Source organism: Homo sapiens, chromosome 1, assembly GCF_000001405.40.
Source record: "Homo sapiens chromosome 1, GRCh38.p14 Primary Assembly".
In the NCBI taxonomy this organism is placed as follows: Eukaryota; Metazoa; Chordata; class Mammalia; order Primates; family Hominidae; genus Homo; species Homo sapiens.
This window is the reverse complement of record NC_000001.11, coordinates 202,514,500-202,536,574: the sequence shown is the minus strand read 5'-3', so window position 1 is coordinate 202,536,574 and position 22,075 is coordinate 202,514,500. Positions and strand designations below refer to the sequence as shown.

General features: G+C 37.7%; 1 protein-coding gene and 1 non-coding gene across 16 annotated transcripts in view, besides 1 other annotated feature; one reads left to right on the top strand and one right to left on the bottom strand.

Annotated features, from left to right (window-relative positions):
* The window catches only part of PPP1R12B (protein phosphatase 1 regulatory subunit 12B), a 244,004-nt gene that overhangs the window by 56,128 nt on the left and 165,801 nt on the right, over positions 1 to 22,075 (bottom strand). The window lies entirely within an intron of this gene.
* LOC124900426 (small nucleolar RNA SNORA70) lies at positions 9,136 to 9,265 on the top strand. The gene has a single exon (XR_007067371.1). It is a non-coding gene; the product is annotated as a small nucleolar RNA SNORA70 (small nucleolar RNA).
* Positions 19,940 to 20,234: a silencer, noted in NCBI's record as "tiled region #13016; HepG2 Repressive non-DNase unmatched - State 23:Low". NCBI's record gives its function as "represses a minimal TATA promoter and a strong SV40 promoter by Sharpr-MPRA in HepG2 cells {active_cell/tissue: HepG2}" and the evidence as "EXISTENCE:reporter gene assay evidence [ECO:0000049][PMID:27701403]".

The window sequence follows — 22,075 nt, the reverse complement described above, 5'->3', positions numbered from 1 at the left end:
GTGCACAGTGTTAATAGTCTATAGTAGTGTACGGTAATGTCCTAGGCCTTCACTCACCACTTGCTCACTGACTCACCCAAAGCAACTTCTAGTCCTGTAAGGTGCATTCATTCACGGTAAATGCCCTATACAGGTATATCATTTTTAATCTAATCTTTTACCCAGTATTTTTACAATACCTTTTCTATGTTTAGACACACAAATACTTATCATGTTCCAGCTCTACAATATTCAATATAGTAACATGCTGTACAGGTTTGTATCCTAGGAGCAATAGGCTATACCATATAGCCTAGGTGTGTAGTAGGCTGTACCATCTAGGTTTGTGTTAAATTCACTCTTTGATGTTTGCTCAGGGACGAAATTGCCTAAAAACTCATTTCTTAGAATGTATCCCTGTCGTTAAGGGACTCGTGACCATATTACTATCTTACAGATGAAGAAAGTGAAGTTCTGAAAGGTTAAGTGTCTTGGCCAAAGACACACAGCCAGTAAAATGGGAGCAAAACACAACTGCCTGAAGAATAAACTTTGGTTGATTAAAGTAAAGTAAAAACAGATCTGAAAAGATCTACCAATTCAAATCCTTCAGTAAAATTCTGGGTATTTGAGACACTTGCAGGAACACATCAGATATACAGAGAAACAGAGATAAATTCTCCAGAAAGTTGAATGTGAGCTCTTTCTTTCTTCACTTGTCTTTTTGTAGATTTAATTTTTTTCAACCCAGCCAACAAGCATTTATTGTTCCTTTCTGACTGAAAAGATATTAATTCCCCTGTAAAAATAAGAACTGAATGGAAATATTCTTGACCACAGACTTCTACAGGATGAGCTTTGCAAACAGCCACTTGTTTAGAAAATAACTCATTCCAGATAAGCAGGATAGGATGTTGAGTTCATCTATTTTATTTCTTGTAGGTAAAAAAGAGGGAAGAAAAAAGTCTATAAACTTTAGGGCGTTGTTATAATGGAATTAAGAGCACCAGGTAGTCGGCTCAACAGAGTTTCCAACAAATATAAGAACTATCAAATAGAGGAACTGCATATGTTAGTTTTTTAGATGGGACATATCTAATGTGTGAATAAGTCAATAAAATGTCTCATGATGTGAATACTAATCATCGACTCTCATTGACTCAACTCTCCCAAAAGTTAGTAAAGGAAGAAATTAATGAACCAGTTGAGTAATTTCTACTTTTTCCTCTTTTTATTTTTTTAAATTAAAAAAACCTAAATGGCATGGTTTAAGGGTGATGTTTGATAAAATGCTCCCCAGTGATGATTTCCAATGCTAGCAATATACCATGGTGCTGTACACATGGTTTGGGAAGGGTGTGTATTTGAGGTCAGATATCCTGGATTGAAATTCTAACCCCTGCTTAACTGACTGATATGATCAAGTTCTTCAGCCTCATTGAATCTTACTTGGTTCATCACCCAAAACAGTGATAAGGATGCTTATTTACAGAGTTGTTATATGGTTTAGGATACACACACACACACACACACACACACATACACACACACACATAATCATCCATCACAGTGCCTAGCATGCGGTCATGCTCAATACATGGTCATTATCACAAAAAAATACTTGGTTAACATGCATGTGCATTTATAAAATATATGTAAGAATCCAAATGAAAATCTGAAAAAAGAGCTTAAATATCAGTTTTTATATTCTATGCATTTATTTTCCTTGTGATTATGTAAAAGGTTACTGAAAAAGATGATAGAATCTCCTTTTCAAATGCTTTAAGAAAAAACTTATCTCTACCTATCTTCCTCCTTCCCTCTTCCCAGCTTTCCTTATTTCTTAGAAGGCAAAGAGCCCTGGCAATAAGAGGAGGGTACAGTGGTGAGGTAGTAGCCTGGTCTACTTCGGTCTAGTTAGGGGATTGGCTTTACACAAGGGATTGAGCAAATAAGTAAACATATTGAAAATGGCAACTAGGTTTCTCATTGTTAGAGAAGGCAGACATAAATACAAAAAAAAAAAAAAAAAGGGAAAGCTAGAAAGAACCCCATGTTGGTATGAACTCATGATTTTCAATATAGATAGATAAAGAAATAAAGATGTAAATGTACATGTATATGTAAGCAAATGCATCCATATGTATGTCTTTCCTAGCTCTGTCCACTGAAAGGGGCCTGGGAAGAGCAACACTCCAGCAGCATTTAGCGTACCTAGTGCCCAGATCATTGTTTCTAAATGCCACTTTGTACTAAGAGGAACAGGGCTCCCTGGAGAAATGGCTAATTCCAGAGCTGGGGTAAGGAAAGAAAATGAGCCTGATCTCTTGTGCTAGAAGGTGAGAAAGTCCTCAAACAACACTTAAATGATATGACACAAGGACACAGAAGCCTGCTTAAAAAGCCAAACCTGGGATAATAAGAGCATCATAATAAATAATGATAGCAATGAATTATAACCCACTGACTAGGAACCCATGAGTAGACATTGATATAAATAAATGAATGAAAAAAATAAATAGGAGGAGAAAAGCTTCTTGCTTACAATAGAATGCCTACTAATAAATGTAGAAGGGGTAATAAAGTTAGAAAAATTACCATTTGGCAACCATGACTGTAAAATCAATCCAAGAAAGAAGTATTAATGGATGTTCAAAGTAGTGGGTAAAAGTAGAGGAGAAACTGGAGTTTACACAATCTCAAAGTACCACATCAGACAACATTTATTAATCACAAAAGAGGAAAAACTAACTTTACCATGGAGAAACCTGGCAGACGTCATCTCAATCCAGTCCTCAAAGACAAGACCACTAGTAACATGACAAACTGACAGCATGAAATGAGAAGAGTACAGTATCGCTTCTATGACACTGTGGCCAAAAATGCATAAGCTGGGTCTAATCATGAGAAAACACTGAATAAACCTAAACTGAGGGACATATATGACTGGCCTGCTATCTTCAAAAATATCAAGGTCAGCCAGGCGTGATGGCTCATGCCCGTAATCTCAGCACTTTGGGAGGCTAAGGAGAGCAAATCTCTTGAGCCCAGGGGTTCAAGATTAGCCTGGGCAATGTCATAAAACCCCGTCTCTACCAAAAAAACAAAACAAAACAAAACAAAACAAAAAAACCCAAAATTAGCAAGGCATGGTGGTGCCCACCGTAGTCCCAGCTACTCAAGATGCTGAGGTGGGAGGATCCTCTGAGCACAAGAGGCAGAGGATACAGTGAGCTAAGATCATACTACTGCACTTCAGCCTGGGCAACAACAAAACAAAACAAAACAAAACAAAACAAAACAAAATACCCCCAAAAAACCAAGGTCATATAAGTCAAGGAAAGTCTAACTAGAGATACACAAAAATTGGGTATAGTGATCCTGGATTGGATCTTTCTGCTCCCATGGACTTCATTAGGACAACTGGTAAAAATGTGAATGTGTCACGCCTGTAATCCCAGCACTTTGGGAGGCTGAGGCGGGCAGATCACCTGAGGTCGGGAGTTCAAGACCAGCCTGACCAACATGGAGAAACCCCATGTCTACTGAAAATACAAAATTAGCCGGGTGTGGTGGCACATGCCTGTAATCCCAGCTACTCGGGAGGCTGAGGCAGGAGAATCATTTGAACCTGGGAAGCAGAGGTTGGGGTGAGCCGAGATCGCAACATTGCACTCCAGCCTGGGCAACATGAGTGAAACTCCAGCTCAAAAAAAAAAAAAAAAAAAAAAAAAAGTGAATGTGATCTCTAGGTAAAGGGTATACAGCAATTCTTTATTCTTGAAATATTTCTGTAAGTTTAACAGTGTTTAAAAAAAAAACAGAGTTTTTTCATCTCACTACAGTGAGAAAGGGGCACAAGGAAGTGACTTTCTTTTTTAATTCCTGACAACTTTGAAAGATAGTCTCTCTTTACAGAGGACTCTAAGATTATATGTTCACCAAAGAATTGGGTTTGCTAACGGAAACAGGCAGTCACTTGGGCTGAAGGTACAATGAGGCTCATTATTAGGTTATGAATCAATTTAGTGGCCACAACCAGATCAATAAAAAGTGAATAAACAGAATAGCAAATGTTGGAATGCATTACACATAGTAGACTAAGGTATTGGTATGTTTTTGTCAAAGGTGTTTGAACCAGAGGCACTCTATCTTGAATACGGGCTGGGTAAATAAGGCTGAGACCTACTGGGCTGCATTCCCAAGAGGTTAAGGCATTCTCAGTCACAGGATGAGACAGGAGGTCAGCACAAGATACAGGTCACAAAGACCTTGCTGATAAAACAGGCTGCGATAAAGAAGCCAGCCAAAACCCACCAAAACCAAGATGGCAATGAGAGTGACCTCTGTTCGTCCTCATGACTCATTATACACTAATTATAAAATATCAGCATGCTAAGAGACACTCCCACCAGTGACACGACAGTTTACAAATGTCATGGCAACATCAGGAAGTTGCCCTATATGGTCTAAAATGGGGAGGAACCCTCAGTTCTGGAAATTGCCCACCTCTTTCCTGGAAAACTCATGAATAATCCACCCCTTGTTTAGCATATAATCAAGAAGTAACCATAAAACCAGCAGCCCTTGGGGCTGCTCTGTCTATGGAGTCATTCTTTTATTCCTTCACTTTCTAAATAAACTTGCTTTCACTTTACTGTATGGACTTGCCCTGAATTCTTTCTTGCGTGAGATCTAAGAACCCTTTCTTGGGGTCCAGATCGGACTGCTTTTCTAGTAACAAAACCACAAGGTCCTTTAAGGCCCAAAGGAGATCAACAGTTAGGTGGAAATTACCTAGTCTTTCAAAAATGTCTCTGCCTCGTCCTCAAATCAATTTTTTGGTAGGTTAGTTTATAAACTTCTGAGTAGATACAATATACAGTATTTTAGTTCAGATTTAGGCAAGAAGGTGATGAGTCAAGTATTACCAGTTAAGAAGTATAGTTTAAGATCTCTGTTCCTCCTTTTGGAACAGGGCAGTCATTTTCAGTCCATTTATGAATATAAGATCCAAAGAAAATATTTTTATTTTTATTTTCAACTGATACTTTTCTTCCATCAACTAACAACTATTAAGTTCTTATTCTATGCAAGGTACTATTAGGGATAGGGATATACAAAGTACTGTAAGACATGATTCGTGTCTTCAAAGAGATTATAGGAAATCTCAAAATTTGTATCACTAAAAAGATCTCCATACTGTTAAAAAATATCAAGCCCTACTCTTCCATATATTTTTATATAAATAATTTTTGATCTCATACTAAACAAACAATTTATTTTTAAAGGAGACCATCAACAGCACACAGCCAAGTTGGAAGATAGTCTAGAATTCATAACAGCTTCATTTACTATTCTATGCTTTTATAGCGACGTTTTATTACTGGGTACTTAGAAGGGCCAAAAATATTACTTGGGGGCAGGAAATAAGTTCTAAAGGAAACAGGAGGTTCTTTGTCACTTCTTCTTCTTCTGATTTTTCCATCTCAATCCTGTTTAATTTATGCGATGTGAAAATCCTCCCCTTTTGGGGGTGATGGAGAAGATCAATAATGATAACTCACATTTAATGTTGACTCCTGCACAGATGCTCCTGAGTGAGGGAGACATATTAGGGACTTTACCACAAAATGAATCATTTTAGAGTAAAGAGTCAGCCTTAATTCCACATGTAAGAAAATGCAGAACAGAGAAAAGTCACGCAATTCTTTCAGTGTAATAAAGGGCCTTTGACACATGTTCTTTGTGAACAAGCAAAAAAGCTAAAAATCAGACCAACAAAATATATCCACTAATGGCTTCTGCATAGTCTAGTGGGTTGCTGGGAGTAGGGAGAAGAGATGGTGCTATTTTGGAGTACAAGGCAGCAACAGAGAGGCAAAGCAAGACAGGATATACAAGTTGCACAGCATGGAGCTCACAATAACTTTACTAGCTGACAAAATGTTCCCAATCTTGCTCCCATATATTTAATCATGCCCTAGTGTTACGAATGTTAAGTCTCAGAAATTCATTTCAGGGTAATAGATTATAAAGGTCCTTTAAGAAAATCATTCTGCAAACCTGTCCTAGAATTGGTTCAAGAGTTTAGTATTTTGCAATTAAATTTAACTTTAGCAATGGCTTACAAAAAGCAGAAATGAAAACCTATCTCTTTTTAATGTGAACAACATAGCTTTTCCCCCTTCACACTTTTTTTGTAGGCCACATAGGCTAGAAACATCAGTAAAGGTATAAGGGGCAGGTTTGTCACGGGGAGGGGAAGGGGCAACACTTACCACAAGAGCTTTTGAAAATATGTGGGGACACTGATTGTCACAATGATTGGAGGGTGCTACTGGCATTTCAAATGCCAGGCTCAGGGATGCTGAATGCTTGCTATTCTAGAAACAGACCCACATAGTGAAGAATTACCCTGCCAAATGCTCACAGCACCTTGATGAGAAAAAAAAAAATGCTTGAACTGATCAGAAGCACTAACAGGGTATATTATATCTTTTTTGATTAGCTTAAAAGTAGCAAAAGGGCTCTATATAGTGTCAGTTAAACACTGAATAAGTAGCTTTAAAGCATATGATTTATCTGAAATTTTTGTTAAGACTATAAATATTTAGTACAGTTAAGAGTTAGGGAGAATTAGGGAGATAGTTTCCTCAAATTCATCAGATATTACAATTTAAATATGTGCAGTTGTACAGAAATTATATGTCAAGAAAGGTGTTTTGAAAACTTAAGGAGAAAGGTACAGAGGAGAAAGGTACAGAATTAATTTTAGAATAACTTTTAAAATAAATAAATCCATTTAGTTCTCAAAGATATCTGTGATAGTTAAGTTGTGCTTATAATCTGTATGCCAGGCAAAACGTATTACTGCCTGGTAGCAACACACTTAAATTTCAGCTCACAAGTTTGATAACGATCAGTTTCTTGAAAATGTAACCTATAACTTAAAGAAGGTTCAGAAATTCTATGTAAGTTTTTAAATTGTCATCAACTTGATTTTTTAAAATATTTTGTTAGTTTTCTTTAGAGCCTATAAATGAGGCTGAATGGTCCATCAGGTGTTAAGAAAAATAATTATTTCCCACTTTTAGTTAACTGCAGAGTTTTAAGGAAAAGGCCCTACGAAAAGCAATCTATGTATGATTCATCTAGAAATTTAAATATTTCAACTAGTCTTCATAGTTGTGAATTTGCAGTTGATCCAGAAATAAAGGCTGCTCTCTTCATCTGGGTTTACTAAAAATACTCCCAAACTTAACATCTAACTTCTTTTTTTTTTTTTTTCAATAATAACATAGATCCTGGAAGAGTATATGAAAGACTCTTCCTTATCAACAATGAACTGGCATGCACCCTTTTTGCTTTGCAGATACTTCTGACATATGCAATGTAAATGTTTATTCATTTATTAGTTGTCTACGTGCCATCTATATACACTTTATCTTCACGTTCTCAGGTAAAAATACTTTAAAATAGTTGAAGATGAAAGATGCCATTGTACTACTAGGTTTACCCTCTCATTTCCTTTATCTTCAACTTATTTTCTTTGTGTCATCTGAATCCTCCAGATATCTAACTTTTCCTTTTTATGCCTTTCACATTTCCATTGGAGATCACTTTGTCCCCTTCCTTAAGGTTCTGTCGGGAGAGATTTAAGAGTTGGTTCTAGCTAAAAAATATGGCTGTAGCTCTGAAGATGACATAAAAGTTTTTCCCTATGCCTAAGATTTCAAATATATGTATACATTTGAAAGAAAAAACAGGGAGAGCATTATTTTTTTGTCCAGATTATTTTTGCTCATTGTAGGTAAAAAACAATCTGTGTATATATGTAAAAAAAAACAAAAACAAAAACAAAAAAAAAACCTTTCAGTCCCTACATAATAACTCAGAAATAAAGTTTCTTCAGCCAGCTATGGGGATGGGGGAAACAATTCCCAGGGTACATGTTAGTGGTCCTGTCAACTCTGTCATTCTCACATTGCAATGCCAGTGCAATTCCACATAAACACAATTATGCTGAGGCAAACACTTGCAGAGTATGAGAACTACATATGCACTGTTCTAAGAAAAACAAACTTGTGAGGTTCTTGAGGCATGGCAATGTTTGTGGCAAACAGGACCAATGTGAGAATCAAATTTATTAGATTCCTAGAGTCTACTGCTTAGCATGCAATACAGTAAACAACTAAGCTCCATGATGACTGAATTGACTGGCATACAACAACCACAAATTGTTCTCTTTGAGCACAAAGGGCATGTAAGAGCTAACAGATGAGTGCCCCAGGCATGGTTCTACGTAGTTTGTATGATATTGCATATGATGTTACTAACTAGGCTGGTCAATTTGCGTGGTGATAACAGTGTGTTACTGGAGTTAAAGTTACAGAGTCAATCTCTATATGCTTAGTTAGCACCATATTAAAACAAAACAAATTTTTTTCCATGCCACAGACTATTAGTGACCTAGCTATCTTACGGATACATGCTGTTGGTCATAATACCGACTGAGAGTGTCCAAAACCCATCATTACAACTGGAATTAAAATAACTGGAATCAAAGAGCAAAGCTGGTCCACACAGAAGGATGAGCACAAAGTCAAAGGTCCAATCCTTAAAACCTGTACCACCTAGGTATAATCAGATGTCTTTTTCTAGTGCTGTTTGTGGGAAGTATTCAGACTTTATTTTGGTTTTTCTTTGCCTCAATTCTTAGCCTCTTTTTGTTGTTACTAAACAAGTTGGAGGCAAAACAATCTAGTGTAGATTCTCGCTTCCTTCTTTTTATTTTCTGAAACAGTTTATGTAAGGCAAGTATTATTATACTTGTTCCTTGACAGTTTGATAGAATTCATCCCCCAAATTACTCTAGGCTTGGTGTTTTGGGCAGGAGGTTGGGGAGGTGGTGGTTAAGTATGATTAAATTTCTTTAAAGGTTACGGGACTTCTTTGTTTTGCCATTTCTTCCTAAGTCATTTTGATATTTTATATTTTCCCAGAAGAGTGTCCACTTAAACTAAGTTTTCAAGCTTATTGTCATAAAGTTGCTCAAAATAATCTTATATTTTAAATATGTTTATCTTAATTTTGTCCCTATTTCTCTTCCAAATACTATTTGTTTTCACCTATAGTTTTTCTCTAGATCAGCTTTTGAAAGGTTTACTGCATTTTACCCTCCCTGATGGGGCTCAGTGTGCAGCAGCTGGAAAAAGTAGATGCCCTGGTTATGTATGCAGCTCAATTGTTCTATGTGTTGCTTTAAGGGACCTTGAAGACTCTTCTCTCTCCCTATTGTTGCCAAAATAACTGCCTCTGATCTGTTTTTGTTTGCATCCCAGGCCCCAGACTAGCATGTAAGATGCCTTTGAGAAGTCCTAGAACACTGCAGTCAAGGTGGACATTGGAAAATAAAAAGGCTTATTGAATTTTCTATCTTTTCAAAGAATCAGCTTCTGGTATTAACACTATTTCTACTGCTATTCTGTTTTCTGTTCATTAATTTCTGCTTTTATCTTTATTTTATTTCATTCCTTCTACTTACTTTGGGCTTACTCTGTTTTCAACTTCTTGAGTTGAAAGCTTAGCTCATTTATTTTCACTTTTTCTAATTTTTTAACCTTAAACATGTATTTAAGGTTACAGTTTTCTCTCTTTAGCTACTCTACAAGATCTAATGTGAAGTAATTTCATTGTTGTTCAGCTCTAACTATTTTGTAATTCTCATTATAATTACCTCCTTACCCATGCAGTATCTACAAGGAAGTTTATACTTTTCAGAAGTATTCTTTTCTTCTTCAGCTAACTTTTTGTTGCCATTACAAAAAACTATAACCCCTCCATAATCTCAATTCTGTATCTCCACATCGTATCTTTCCAGCTTATTCTTTCTACTAGGGTGATCCTGAACTATTGTTCATTGTTCAACCTCATGAAATCTCCACTGTCTCTCATGCTCTTGATGTCCCTTCACTCTCCTCTTTATCGAGCTTACATTCCATGATTTATCATTATTATCATCACTCTCCCCTCTCTCCCTTCATAGTGCTTGGCAAAACTATAACCTTGTTTAAATCCAATTTTCTGCCTACTCCACACCCGCACCTGTGCAACTAAATGTGGCTGGAAAAAAACATACAACCATGCTCATTGGTCTCAATTTAAATTCATTACTTTGAACCTTTAGTGGACTATAATGCACACACAGATACTTCCCTAGTCCATTTACTTTCCTAGATAAATACTTTACCCCTTTCCCTTTTAACTCAAACACCCAACACCTCCTTCCTCACGTTCTTTCTTGGCTGCTGGTCTTGCTTTCTATTTCACTAAGAAAACTGAAGCAATCAGAAAAGAACTTCCACAAACTATTACCACATTTAACCACCATTTATCATCTCCTCACTTGTTACCATTGATGAATCTAACATGCTTCTATTTGAAGTCAAATCCTTCAACTTGTACCCTAGACCCTACTCAAGGACCTCATTACAGCAGTTCTCCATTCTTCCTCCCACATCATCTTTTTGTTGTTGTTGTTGTTCTCCATTGGGATCATTCTCACAAGCAAACATGTAGCTTAAAAAACACCCTTTTCTGGATGGGTGTGGCAGCTCACGCCTGTGATCCCAGCACTCTGGGAGGCCAAGGCGGATCACCTGAGGCCAGGAGTTTGAGACCAGCCTGGTCAACATGGCGAAAGCCCGTCTCTACTAAAACTACAAAATATTAGCAAGGTGTGGTGGCGGGCACCTGTAATCACAGCTACTCGGGAGGCTGAGGCAGGAGAATCACTTGAACCTGGGAGGCGTAGGCTGCAGTAAGCCAAGATTGCACCATTGCACCACTCCAGCCTGGGCAACAGAGCAAGACTCCATCTCAAAACAAAAAACATCCTTTTCTTGACTCTCCCCAAAAGCTGCCACTCCATTTCCTTGCTAACCCCCCTTCCTGAAAAACTTCTCTCTAAAAAAAAAAAAAGAAAAAAAAAAAAAGCTTTTCTCAATGTTTTCAATTCCTCTCTTCTCAATGTGGCTTAAAATTACTTCAGTCAGGCTTTCTGTCCCACTATTCGAACAAAACCACTCTTATCAAGGTCATAATGTTATCAAAATCAATGGTCAGTTCTTAGTCTTCATCTTATATGACCCTATCAGCAACATTTAACACTGTTGACAACTACCTCTTTCATGATACATTTTTTTTTTTCACTCACACTGGAAAGGACACCAGATACTTCTTGGGCCCTCTTCCCTTTTCTATATTTTCTTTCTGTTATTTGATACAGTCTCATTGCTTTAAATATCATCTAAATACTCCACAGCATTTTGGCAGATCTGTATAACCAAACTGCCAAAATTTCCAGTTGGAAATCTAACAGGTATCTCAAACCAACATATCTAAAACTGGATTCTGGCCACGTGTGGTGGCTCACACCTGTAATCCCAGCACTTTGGGAAGCCAAGGTGGGAAGATCACTTGAGGTCAGGAGTTCTAGACCAGCCTGGCTAACACAGTGAAACCCCGACTCCACTAAAAATACAAAAATTAGCCGGGTGTGGTGGCGGACACCTGTAATCCCAGCTATTCGGGAGGCTGAGGCAGGAGAATCACTTTGAACCCAGGAGGCAGAGGTTGCAGTGAGCCAAGATCGCGTCACCGCACTCCAACCTGGGTGACAGAGTGAGACTCTGTCCAAAAAATAAAAAAATAAAATTGGATTCCTAAGAAGTCATTATACGAAAAAAATACTTGCACATGCATGTTTACAGCAGCACAATCTGCAATTGCAAAAATTTGGAACCAGCCCAAATGCCCATCAATCAATGAGTGGATAAAGAAATTGTGGTATATATATACACACAACATGGAATACTACTCAGCCATAAAAAGGAATGAAATAATGGCATTTGCAGTGACTTGGATGGAATTGGAGACCATTATTCTAAGTGAAGTAACTCAGGAACTGAAAACCAAACATTATATGTTCTCACTCATAAGAGGGAGCTAAGCTATGAGGACGAAAAGGTGTCAGTGATACAATGGACTTTGGGGACTCAGGGGAAAGCGTGAGAGGGGGGTAAGGAATAAAAGACTACACATTGGGTACAGTGTACACTGCTTGGATGATGGGTGCACCAAAATCTCAGAAATCACACTAAAGAACTTATTCATATAACCAAAGATTACCTGTTCCCCCAAAATCTATGGGAAAAATAAATAAATAAATAAGATTGGCTTCCTAGTTTTCTTCCCCAACCTGCTTCATTTGTAGCCTACCCCATGTCAGTTGATGGCAACTCTATCCTATCAGTTGCTTAGGTCAAAAACCTTGGAATCATCTAAAATTCCTCCCTCTTTCTGTCACATCCCACAAGCCCTTCCAGGAAATGTTGGCTCTACCTTCAAATATATCCAGAATCTAACCAACTTTCAACAACTGTATTGCTACCATGTGATCCAAGCCCCTGTCATCATTTCTTGCCTGGATTACTGAAATAGCTGCTCAGCTGCTACCTTTGTCTGAAGTCTAATCTCAACAGAGTAGCTTGAATGATTCTTTTAAAACTTAAGTCAGATTGGCCGGGCACGGTAGCTCACATCTGTAATCCCAGCACTTTGGGAGGCCGAGGCAGGCAGATCACAAGGTCAGGAGTTTGAGACCAGCCTGACCAACATGGTAAAACCCCATCTCTACTAAAAATACAAAAATTAGCTGGGCGTGGTGGCATGCACCTGTAATCCTAGCTACTCAGGAGGCTGAGGCAGGAGAATCGCTTGAACCTGGGAGATGGAGCTTGCAGTGAGCCGAGATGGCGCCAATGCACTCCATCCTGGGCAACAGAGCAAGACTCCGTCTCAAAAAAACAAAACAAAACAAAAAACAAACAAAAAAACAACTTAAGTCAGATCACATCACTCCTCTACTCAAAATCCTGCAATGGCGCCTCATTTTGTGCATAGTAAATGACAAAGGCCTATGACGCTCTGCATTCAGATGATCTGATTCTCTTTCCTGCTACTCTCACCTGTCATTTATTTCATGTGTCAGTACTTTCCCACCATATGGCCTTTGCTCTAGCTGTACCCTCTTGCTAGAGGACCTCACTACACTACATCTGAAGAAATGTTCTTCCTTCAGATATCTTTGTGGCTAACTCCTTCTGCTTCTTTAAATCTCAACCTGTCAATAAGATATACTCAGACCCACTGTTTATATTACAACCTGTACTTTCTCCATCCAATCCTCTTTATTCAATTCTCCTTTCTAGTTTTTTTTCCAAATTGCATCAGTGTCTAACACATACTTTATTATGTTTGTTGTTTATTGTCTGCCTTTTCATCTTACTCCCTGCTAGAATGTACACTTCAACAGGTCAGGATCATTGTCTATACTGTTGACTAAAGGATTCCAAGAACCTCGAACAATATCTGGCAAATATTGGACAAATAAGTATTTGTTGAATGAATGAGTGAATGTTGACTTTTCATTTAGCATGGTCACAATACACACGCCCTATGTGTGCTATATATCTGTTAGATTAAGCTGGTTAATTATGCTGTTCAAATTCTTTATGTTCTTGAGTATTTTTGACTTTTTGATATACTGGTTTCTAAGAGAGGTGTGTTAAAATCTGCAACACTGACTGTGGATATGCTATTTCTTGATAATTCTGTCGGTTTTGTTTTATATATTTTGAGAGTATATTTTCAGTATCTAGAGTCATTTTATATCATCTTCATGGATTGTTCCTTATTTATAAGTGAGACATATATTTCTGTCATTTGCTGTTTTAAAGCAAAAACATGTTCATGTTTCAAATGATGTTCATGCTGCCAGCTTTCACTTGGTGGTAACCAAGAGAAAATTTTTCCTGTCTTATACTTGTATTTTTTTATCTTTCAGTGTTACTTTGAAAACAGCATATGGAAGGATAATCTGACTATCTCTCTGGCTTTGTAGATTAATTTATATTATGACTACTTACATATTTTATTTTGTATTTCCTATTTCCATGTTTTTCCTTTGCTTCTTTTTATCTTCTTTCCTGCCCTCTATTGAATGGAGTGAAAGCATTTAAAATATTACCTATCTTTTCTCTTTCCCCTACTGATTAAGGACTTGTACCTTCTATTTCTATATTTCTATTACTATACTGGATACCCTTATATTTAACATACTTATTTAAATATATATTTTTTAAAAGTCTATAACATTCATCTGTATCTTTTCTACTCAAAACAAGGACTTTAGCACACATTTACATCTTTAATACCATATTATTATTGCTAAGATTTAGTTCTAGCTTTTGAAGCATATTAGCTTTAGCTCATATTTTAACACTCTTTGCTTTAGTATTCCACTTCTTTCTGCATTTATTTTTCTCTTTACTGAAGAACATCCTTTAGTTCTTTTATCACCAAGAGTTTGTGAGTTGAAAACTTAGCTTCGTGTATCTGAAGATGTGTTTATTTTGCTCCCACTCTGTATATAAACCACTGTATGAAACTGGAAGCTCACAGTTATTTTTCTACAGCACTTTGAAGATACTAGTCAGTTTTCTGGTATCTACTGTTGCCAAAGCCTACTGCCAATTTGACTACCATTCCATTATTCAGAATTTTTTCTTATACTTGTATTCAGAATTTCAGATTTTCTCTTTATCATTAATTTCCTACGATTTTATTATCATGTATGTAGTTGTGGATTTATCTATCCTGTGTTACATATGGCAGCATTTTCTATTTTGAAGACTCAGCTTCATTTCTGAAAAAATTCTTAGCTGCAGTTATTGTTATTATTATTGCCACTTTTTTATTCATTCTTTTTTCTCCTTTGCAACTCCTAGCAGATGTATGTTAGAGCTCCTCAGGTCATCTTTCATGTCCATCTTTCTCTTTCATTTTCTTCTAACTCTCTCTAAACTGCATTCTGAAAGATTTTCTCAGTTCTATTTCCTAATTCTGTAATTTTCTCTTAAGCTATAGAAAGTATGTGCAGTCTAACTGTTCTTTTACTTCAATATTGTATTTATAATATTTTTCACTTCAAGATGTCTAAACGCTTCTTTCTCACAGCTTTCTCTTCTTGTTTCATTATCTGTTCTTCATTCTGTAAAATCTAACTTCTTCTGTACATATATTGAGAATTTTAACTTATTTTTAAACTCTCACCAGATTGTTCTTCTTTTCTCAGGTATAAATTCTCTCATTTGTTGGGTTCTCTTGACTGCTTTTTCATGATCTTAGGTTTTACTGGGTTCTTTGTAATGTTTTGGGGGCTCAATTTTTATGATAACTAAAAAATGTAAGTACCTGTATCTATAGGGCAGTTTTAAGTTGCCTCAGCTTAAATCTGATAATGTGCCAACCTTGAACCAGACCTTAAGTTGGTAGCTCTGGGTCTTCTTTCCTCCTAGGTAGCCCAGTTCTGAATTTTTAGCCCAAAAGTATTTTGGGTCCAAGTCCTATCTTGAGTGGTTTCCTGCGCTTGCTTGTGACTGCCAATTCTTCTTTACTTCTGGTCAGGAACAAGCAGCTTATTCCTGGCTGTGACACTGCTGGGATAAGTTAGATTAGCCCAGCTCCTATTTGTATTGTGCTCTTGGGTCCTGGGTTCATGCACAGACAGGATCATTGCAAAAAAACCTGGTCCCAATTGCCCATATCCATTCATAGCACCCCCCGATCCCCTGCCATCATAGTGGCTTTTCTATTACTGGCCCAAAGAGACTTTTCTTTCTTATTTTTAAGAATAACTATGTATTTTTTAAAACCTTTAAAAATATTTATGCATAATTTCTCTGTTTTTGAATGAGAGGAATAAGATTCAGGAGTATTCACTCTGCCACCCTGACCTAGAAGTCCCAGAGTAGCTTTCACTTTTGAAATAACAGCAGTTCAATTTTCCTGATCTCACCAGTCTGTAAACATTAGCATATATACTCAAAGTTCAAACTTGAATAAGCTGTAGTAGAGACAAATTTCCATTATTTGGAATTTGTTTACATTGAAATAAATAATAGATGTACTAGGAAATCAGAAATGGAAGGAAGATGACTTTAAAAAGGTTAAGAAACTTGGGACAGCAGCAGACTTTACTGTAAATCTTATGTACAAACTCCACCACTGCTTCCCATAAATGGAATCAGACTGAGCAAAGAAGAGGGTACTTTCCACAGCACCAGAAAGAGCCACTGCAGCCAGCAGAGTCCTGTAATAAGTACCAACCTGCACTCCTGCACCTGGAAGACAGCCATCAGCTTAGTGGAAAGAATGCTGGACTGGGAATTCAGAAATGTTCTAGTTCATTTTCTACCACTAAGTCATTGTACAGCTTAGGCTAAGCCAGGCCCTCTTTTGGGCCCCAGGTTTTCCATCTGTAAAATAAGAGAGTTGGGCTAGAACAACTTCTAATGTACCTTCCAGAAATAATTTTCTGTGACCTTAACAGTTTGGTACTTTATAAGTAGGCTGAGTCCTCCATTCTTCAGCTTGCTCAGAAATAATCTGCCAGGTAAAAGAAGAAAATAATGTGTTTCTGAAATCAGTTTTCAAATCAAATGAAAGAATCACCAGATGCATATTTTTGTTTGATCACCACTCTACAAAGGAATAGCCTGGTAGCTGGATGAAGTTTCTGTGTGGGTGTACACACAATCTAAGTTTTAAATAGAAAAAGCAAACCAACCCAGACCAAAACAAAAACCCTCCACACAAGTCCCAGACGCAACAAATGGTAAGAGTTCTTTTCTACAAACATGTCTGTTTCTAATAGCTGAGAAGACCAAAAAAGAAAAAAATGTATCAAACTGACCAGATATATGTGTAGATAAAGAAAAAACTAAGGAGCATGCAGCAAAGTTACAGGATATGAGAGATTTGACTCTGCACACTGCAAAGTCTGTACAATTAGAAATTTCATGTGAACAGAAATGTAGGGAAGACAATGAGAAAAGAAAGAATAAAATTGGAGTTCCACTAAATGGAAGTTAAGAGTGGATTAATAATTTTTAAATTGAGGCCAGGCACAGTGGTTCACGCCTGTAATCCCAGCACTTTGGGAGGCAGAGGTGGGCGGATCACTTGAGGCCAGGAGCTTGAGATCAGCCTGGCCAACATAGCAAAAGCCCATCTTTACTAAAAATACAGAAAAAAAAAATTAGCTGGGTGTAGTGGTGAACACCTATACTCCCAGCTACTCAGGAGGTGGAGGCATGAGAATTGCTTGAACTCTAGAGGCGGAGACTGCAGTGAGCCAAGATCACACAACTGCACTCCAGCCCGGGTGACAGAGTGAGACCCCGTCTCAAAAGAAAAAGAAAAAAAAAAATTTTTTAATTGGGTTGAAGTGGCAAGGAAAACTCAAGATTAAATCTCAGAGCTTCCTAGAGCCTTGACTATCAGCCACAATAAAAATTTATGTGAATTGTTTAATTTCACCACAATGCAGTAAAAAACCAAACTGATTCAGATTTTATAGGTCTGAAGGATGGAAAGTTGGCACACAGCTAGCCATAATCCCGAGTCTTCAAATAACATACTAAAGACATACTGTTTTCTAAAAAAACAACAAAAAGCATCTTATCATCTACATTGCTATTTGTGAGGCACAGTGTATTGCATCAACGCTGCTATATATGTATAGACAGACTATATTAAGGGTGAGTGTCCAGCAGATTTCTATCCACTATTGCATACTTCCACCAGAGCTGAAATAGCCAATCAGTCAAAAGAGAGGGATAAAGTTCTCTGACAAAATTCCCACTCAGTTCACGAAATAGCCACTGAGCAGTCTTCACTTTCATGCAAACTTTTTCTAAGTGTGTTACCAAAGCATTTAAGGGGGGAAAAATTACACAAATAACAAGGCCTCATTAAAGAAAATTTGGGAAATAAAGAAAAGCAGAAAAAAAGTCACATTTAGTCTCATCACAGAAATACAACCACTGCTAACACTTTGCTCACTTTCTCCCTGGTCTCTTTACCTGGGCCTGCTACATCCTTATGGTTGTAATCAGATGACATATACAATTGTGTATCTACTTCATTTAGTAATACTATACTGTAAGCATTTATCCAAGTTACTATACTATCTTTGTAACTCACTTTTAAATGGCTGCCTTATAATCCACTCTATTTTAAGGAAACACCCCTAAATGGCTAGCTGGTGGGGAATGGTAAAGCAAACTATGATTCATAGTGTTCCATTAGATGGATAAATCATAGTATACTTAACCACTGCCAGAATACTGGACAGTAGGCTGTTTCCAATATTTCCACTATTATAAATAGCTAAACGAGCTAAATCTGTTTTGTTCAATAGTGCCTAATAGCCTTCCATATAGTAGGTACTCAAGTATTTGTAGAATGAATATTTACAGAGCTGCCTATATATAACATACCTTGTGATAACAATTTCTGTGCATAAAATCCCCCTCCTTCCCATATTTAGAACTGTTTCCCAGAGATACATTTTCATAGGGGGCTATTCTGGGTCAATTTGGGACTTTTGTCAATCTAGCCATTTGCTCCTCAGAAAATAATGACTAATTTGCATTCCCAACAGTAAAATATGGGAAGGCCCATTTCACCACATTCTTGGCTAAATTGGGCATTATCTTTTCAAAGTCTTTGCCTATCATGACTGGTAAAAAAATGTTACTTTGGCTGGGTGCAGTGGCTCACGCCTGTAATCCCAGCACTTTCGGAGGCTGACGCAGGCAGATCACCTGAGGTCAGGAGTTCAGGACCAGCCTGGCCAACATGATGAAACCCCATCTCTACCGAAAATACCAAAATTAGAGGGGCATGATAGTGGTCGCCTGTAATCCCAGCTACTTGAGAGGCTGAGGCAGGAGAACTGCTCAAACCTGGGAGGCGGAGGTTGCAGTGAGCCGAGATCACGCCATGACACTCCAGCCTGGGTGGCAGAGCAAGACTCTGTCTCAAAAAAAAAAAAAGATACCTCATTATAATTTTAATTATAGTTTCGAACACCAGTAAGGTTACACACTTTTTCTTATGCATGTTAATTGTCTATTTTGAAATAGCTTTCTAATAATCACTATCTAAATCTAATTTATTCCTGAAAGGTCAGTTGTGGGTTGCAGTAACAATAAAAGCCCCAATATTTTTAGGAAATAAATTCTGGAAGGAACTTAAGGAACTAACGTAAATACATAGCTGAGAACAGCTTATTCACAGAGCAAGTCTGGAACACTGTAATGTGCTTTTATTAATGGTAAAGTTGGAGGCTAGAGTTCTCAGTTCCTCATTCTTTCTTCATATTTATCTGTTATATAGTTTTGTTTTATTTGTGATATTTGTCTGTGGGTGCTGCTGTAATTTGGGAGGGGAGAGCTGGCAGGAAAAAATTCCTTTAATAATTCTTCTAAAACTTTTCTTTTAGGAAATCATTCTAGATTAACCCAGAAACTCTTAAGAGCTGTTTTCCACAACTGTACTCTGTAAAAACTAAGAAGTTTTTAGCCCAGATAATCTTGGGGTGACTTAGCAGAACTTTGTTAACCCTGAATTAGACTTTCTCTCTGAAAACATTTTGTAAACAAGTAAGCTAGACACAGAAAAGGCAGAAGCATATTCAGAGAAAAAATGTAGGTCTGGGCAACATTACCAGTAATGAGAACCTGATGAAAACTGACAATCACACCTCACTAACTAATCCAATAACTAGCTATTTTCATAACTGTTAGCATAACATGTGGAAAATGCTCCTTTGCAGCAGAAGTATAATTGCCTTTCATTCCTTCAAGATGCTCTTGCAGGAGTAGGCAAGAATGTTGACCTGCCATCTATTCTTAACAAGGAGAGAAAGCAGAAATGTGGACTAAGGATTGTTAGGGGAAAACAATTTAGATGGAATCAGGTACCACAATGTGCCAAATGATATGACGATTAGATCTGTTTGAACCCTGTTTAAGCCTTTATGAGGATTTTTTTTTTTAACGGCAAACTATCTTGGAGCTCTGCCCACAAGGCAAATGGCTACTAACCAAAGACTATTAATTCCCAGAAAATCCATCAAAATCGTTATACGCAGATGAGTCACAAAGAGAAGATATCATCCTTTCATGCTCCCCAGCCCCACTCCACCAAACTGCTCTCACAAGTCAGCAACATCTCCTTACTGGCAAACCTACGAGATACTCTTCAGCTCTCAAACTACTGGATGTGATTACAGAGGACTATTGGTAGCTATAATTTATCTTTCCAACCCTTTATCTCTTTCTCTTCTTTTGATAACAGAATCCCTATTTCCTGTGGGGAATCTATTCCATGTAGCTGACCCTCTCCTAACCCTACCCCTATAACAAGTGGTAGCTGCTGCTCTTGTTTCTTCTTCATCACTATGACCAGCACTACCACTATTGTTATCATTATGATCATCATGGCGGCTAAGATTTATTGATAATTTACTATGTGCCAGACACTGTTCTGTACACTTTGTATGTATTATCTCATTTAAAGAAATGACCTATGTGATAAGTACTATGATTTCTCTTATTTTAAAGTTAAGGAAACTGAGACACAGGGAGTATATAATTTGGCAAGGTTACACAGTAAGTAGCAGAGGAGGGACTTGAATTAAACTTGGTTTCAGGGTTCAGGCTTCACTGCCTCTCTCGCTAAATCTCATCTAATTTCTGGCTATAGAAATTGGTTCAGGGAAGTTCATCTGATCCAGGAAAGGTCAATCGGATATACCAACACTACGAGGCCAGGTGTGGTGGTGCACACCTGTAATCCCAACATTTTGGAAGGCCAAGGTGGGAGGACAACATAAGCCCAGGAGTTTGAGACCAGCCTAGGCAACACAGTGAGACTCCATCTCTACAAAAAATAAAAAGAATTAGCTGGGCATGGTGGCACACATCTATCATCTCAGCTACTTGGGAGGCTGATCACTTGAGCCTAGGAGGTAGAGGCTGCAGTGACCCGTGATCACACCATGCACTCCAGCCTGAGTAACAGAGCAAGATCCTGTGTGCAAAAACCAAAACAAAAAACAAAAAAAAGATATATGGACACTAGGATAGGGAAGGTCTTTCTTCCTCTGAAGCCTATGCAAAGAAGGCAGCAGGGATCTGAAAGTTTCAGCTTCCTAGATTTAGCTATGCCTAAAGCTAGGCCAGGCTAAATATGCAGATTTTCTAGCTACATAAGCCTTTATGCTTGAGTTATAAGAAGTTAAGTTTCTGTCACATTGAGTCTTTGAAAGTTTTCATTCCCTTGTTTGGTTGAATACTACTCTTTTTTAAAAAAACAAACAAACACTTTTATTTTAGGTTCTGGGGTACATGTGAAGGTTTGTTACATAGGTAAACTTGTGTCACAGGGGTTTGTTGCATAGATTAATCACCCATGTATTATGCCTAGTACCCAATAGTTATCTTTTCTGCTCCTCTCCCTCCTCCTACCCTCCTCCCTCAAGTAGACCCCAGTGTCTGTTGTTTCCTTCTTTGTGTTCATAAGTTCTCATCACTTAGCTTCCACTTATAAGTGACAACATGTGGTATTTGGTTTTCTGTTCCTGCATTAGTTTGCTAAGGATAATGGCTTCCAGCTCCATCCTTGTTCCCACAAAAGACATGATCTCACTCTTTTTTATGGCTGCATAGTATTCTATGGTGTATATGTACCACATTTTCTTTATCCAGTCTGTCACTGATGGGCATTTAGGTTGACTCTATGTCTTTGCTATTGTGAATAGTGCTACAATGAACATTCGCATGCATGTGTCTTTAGGGTAGAATGATTTATATTCCTCTGAGTATATACCCAGCACACAGACCAATGGAATAGAATAGAGAGCCCTGAAATAAGGTTGCACACCTACAACCATCTGATCTTCGACAAAGCTGACAAAAACAAGCAATGGGGAAAAGACTTCCTATTCAGTAAATGGTGCTGGGATAACTGGCTAGCCATATGCAAAAGACTGAAGCTAGACACCTTCCTTGCACCATACACAAAAATCAACTCAGGATGGATTAAAGACTTAAATATAAACCCCAAACTATAAAAACCCTGGAGACAACCTAGGCAATACCATCCTGGACATAGAAATGGG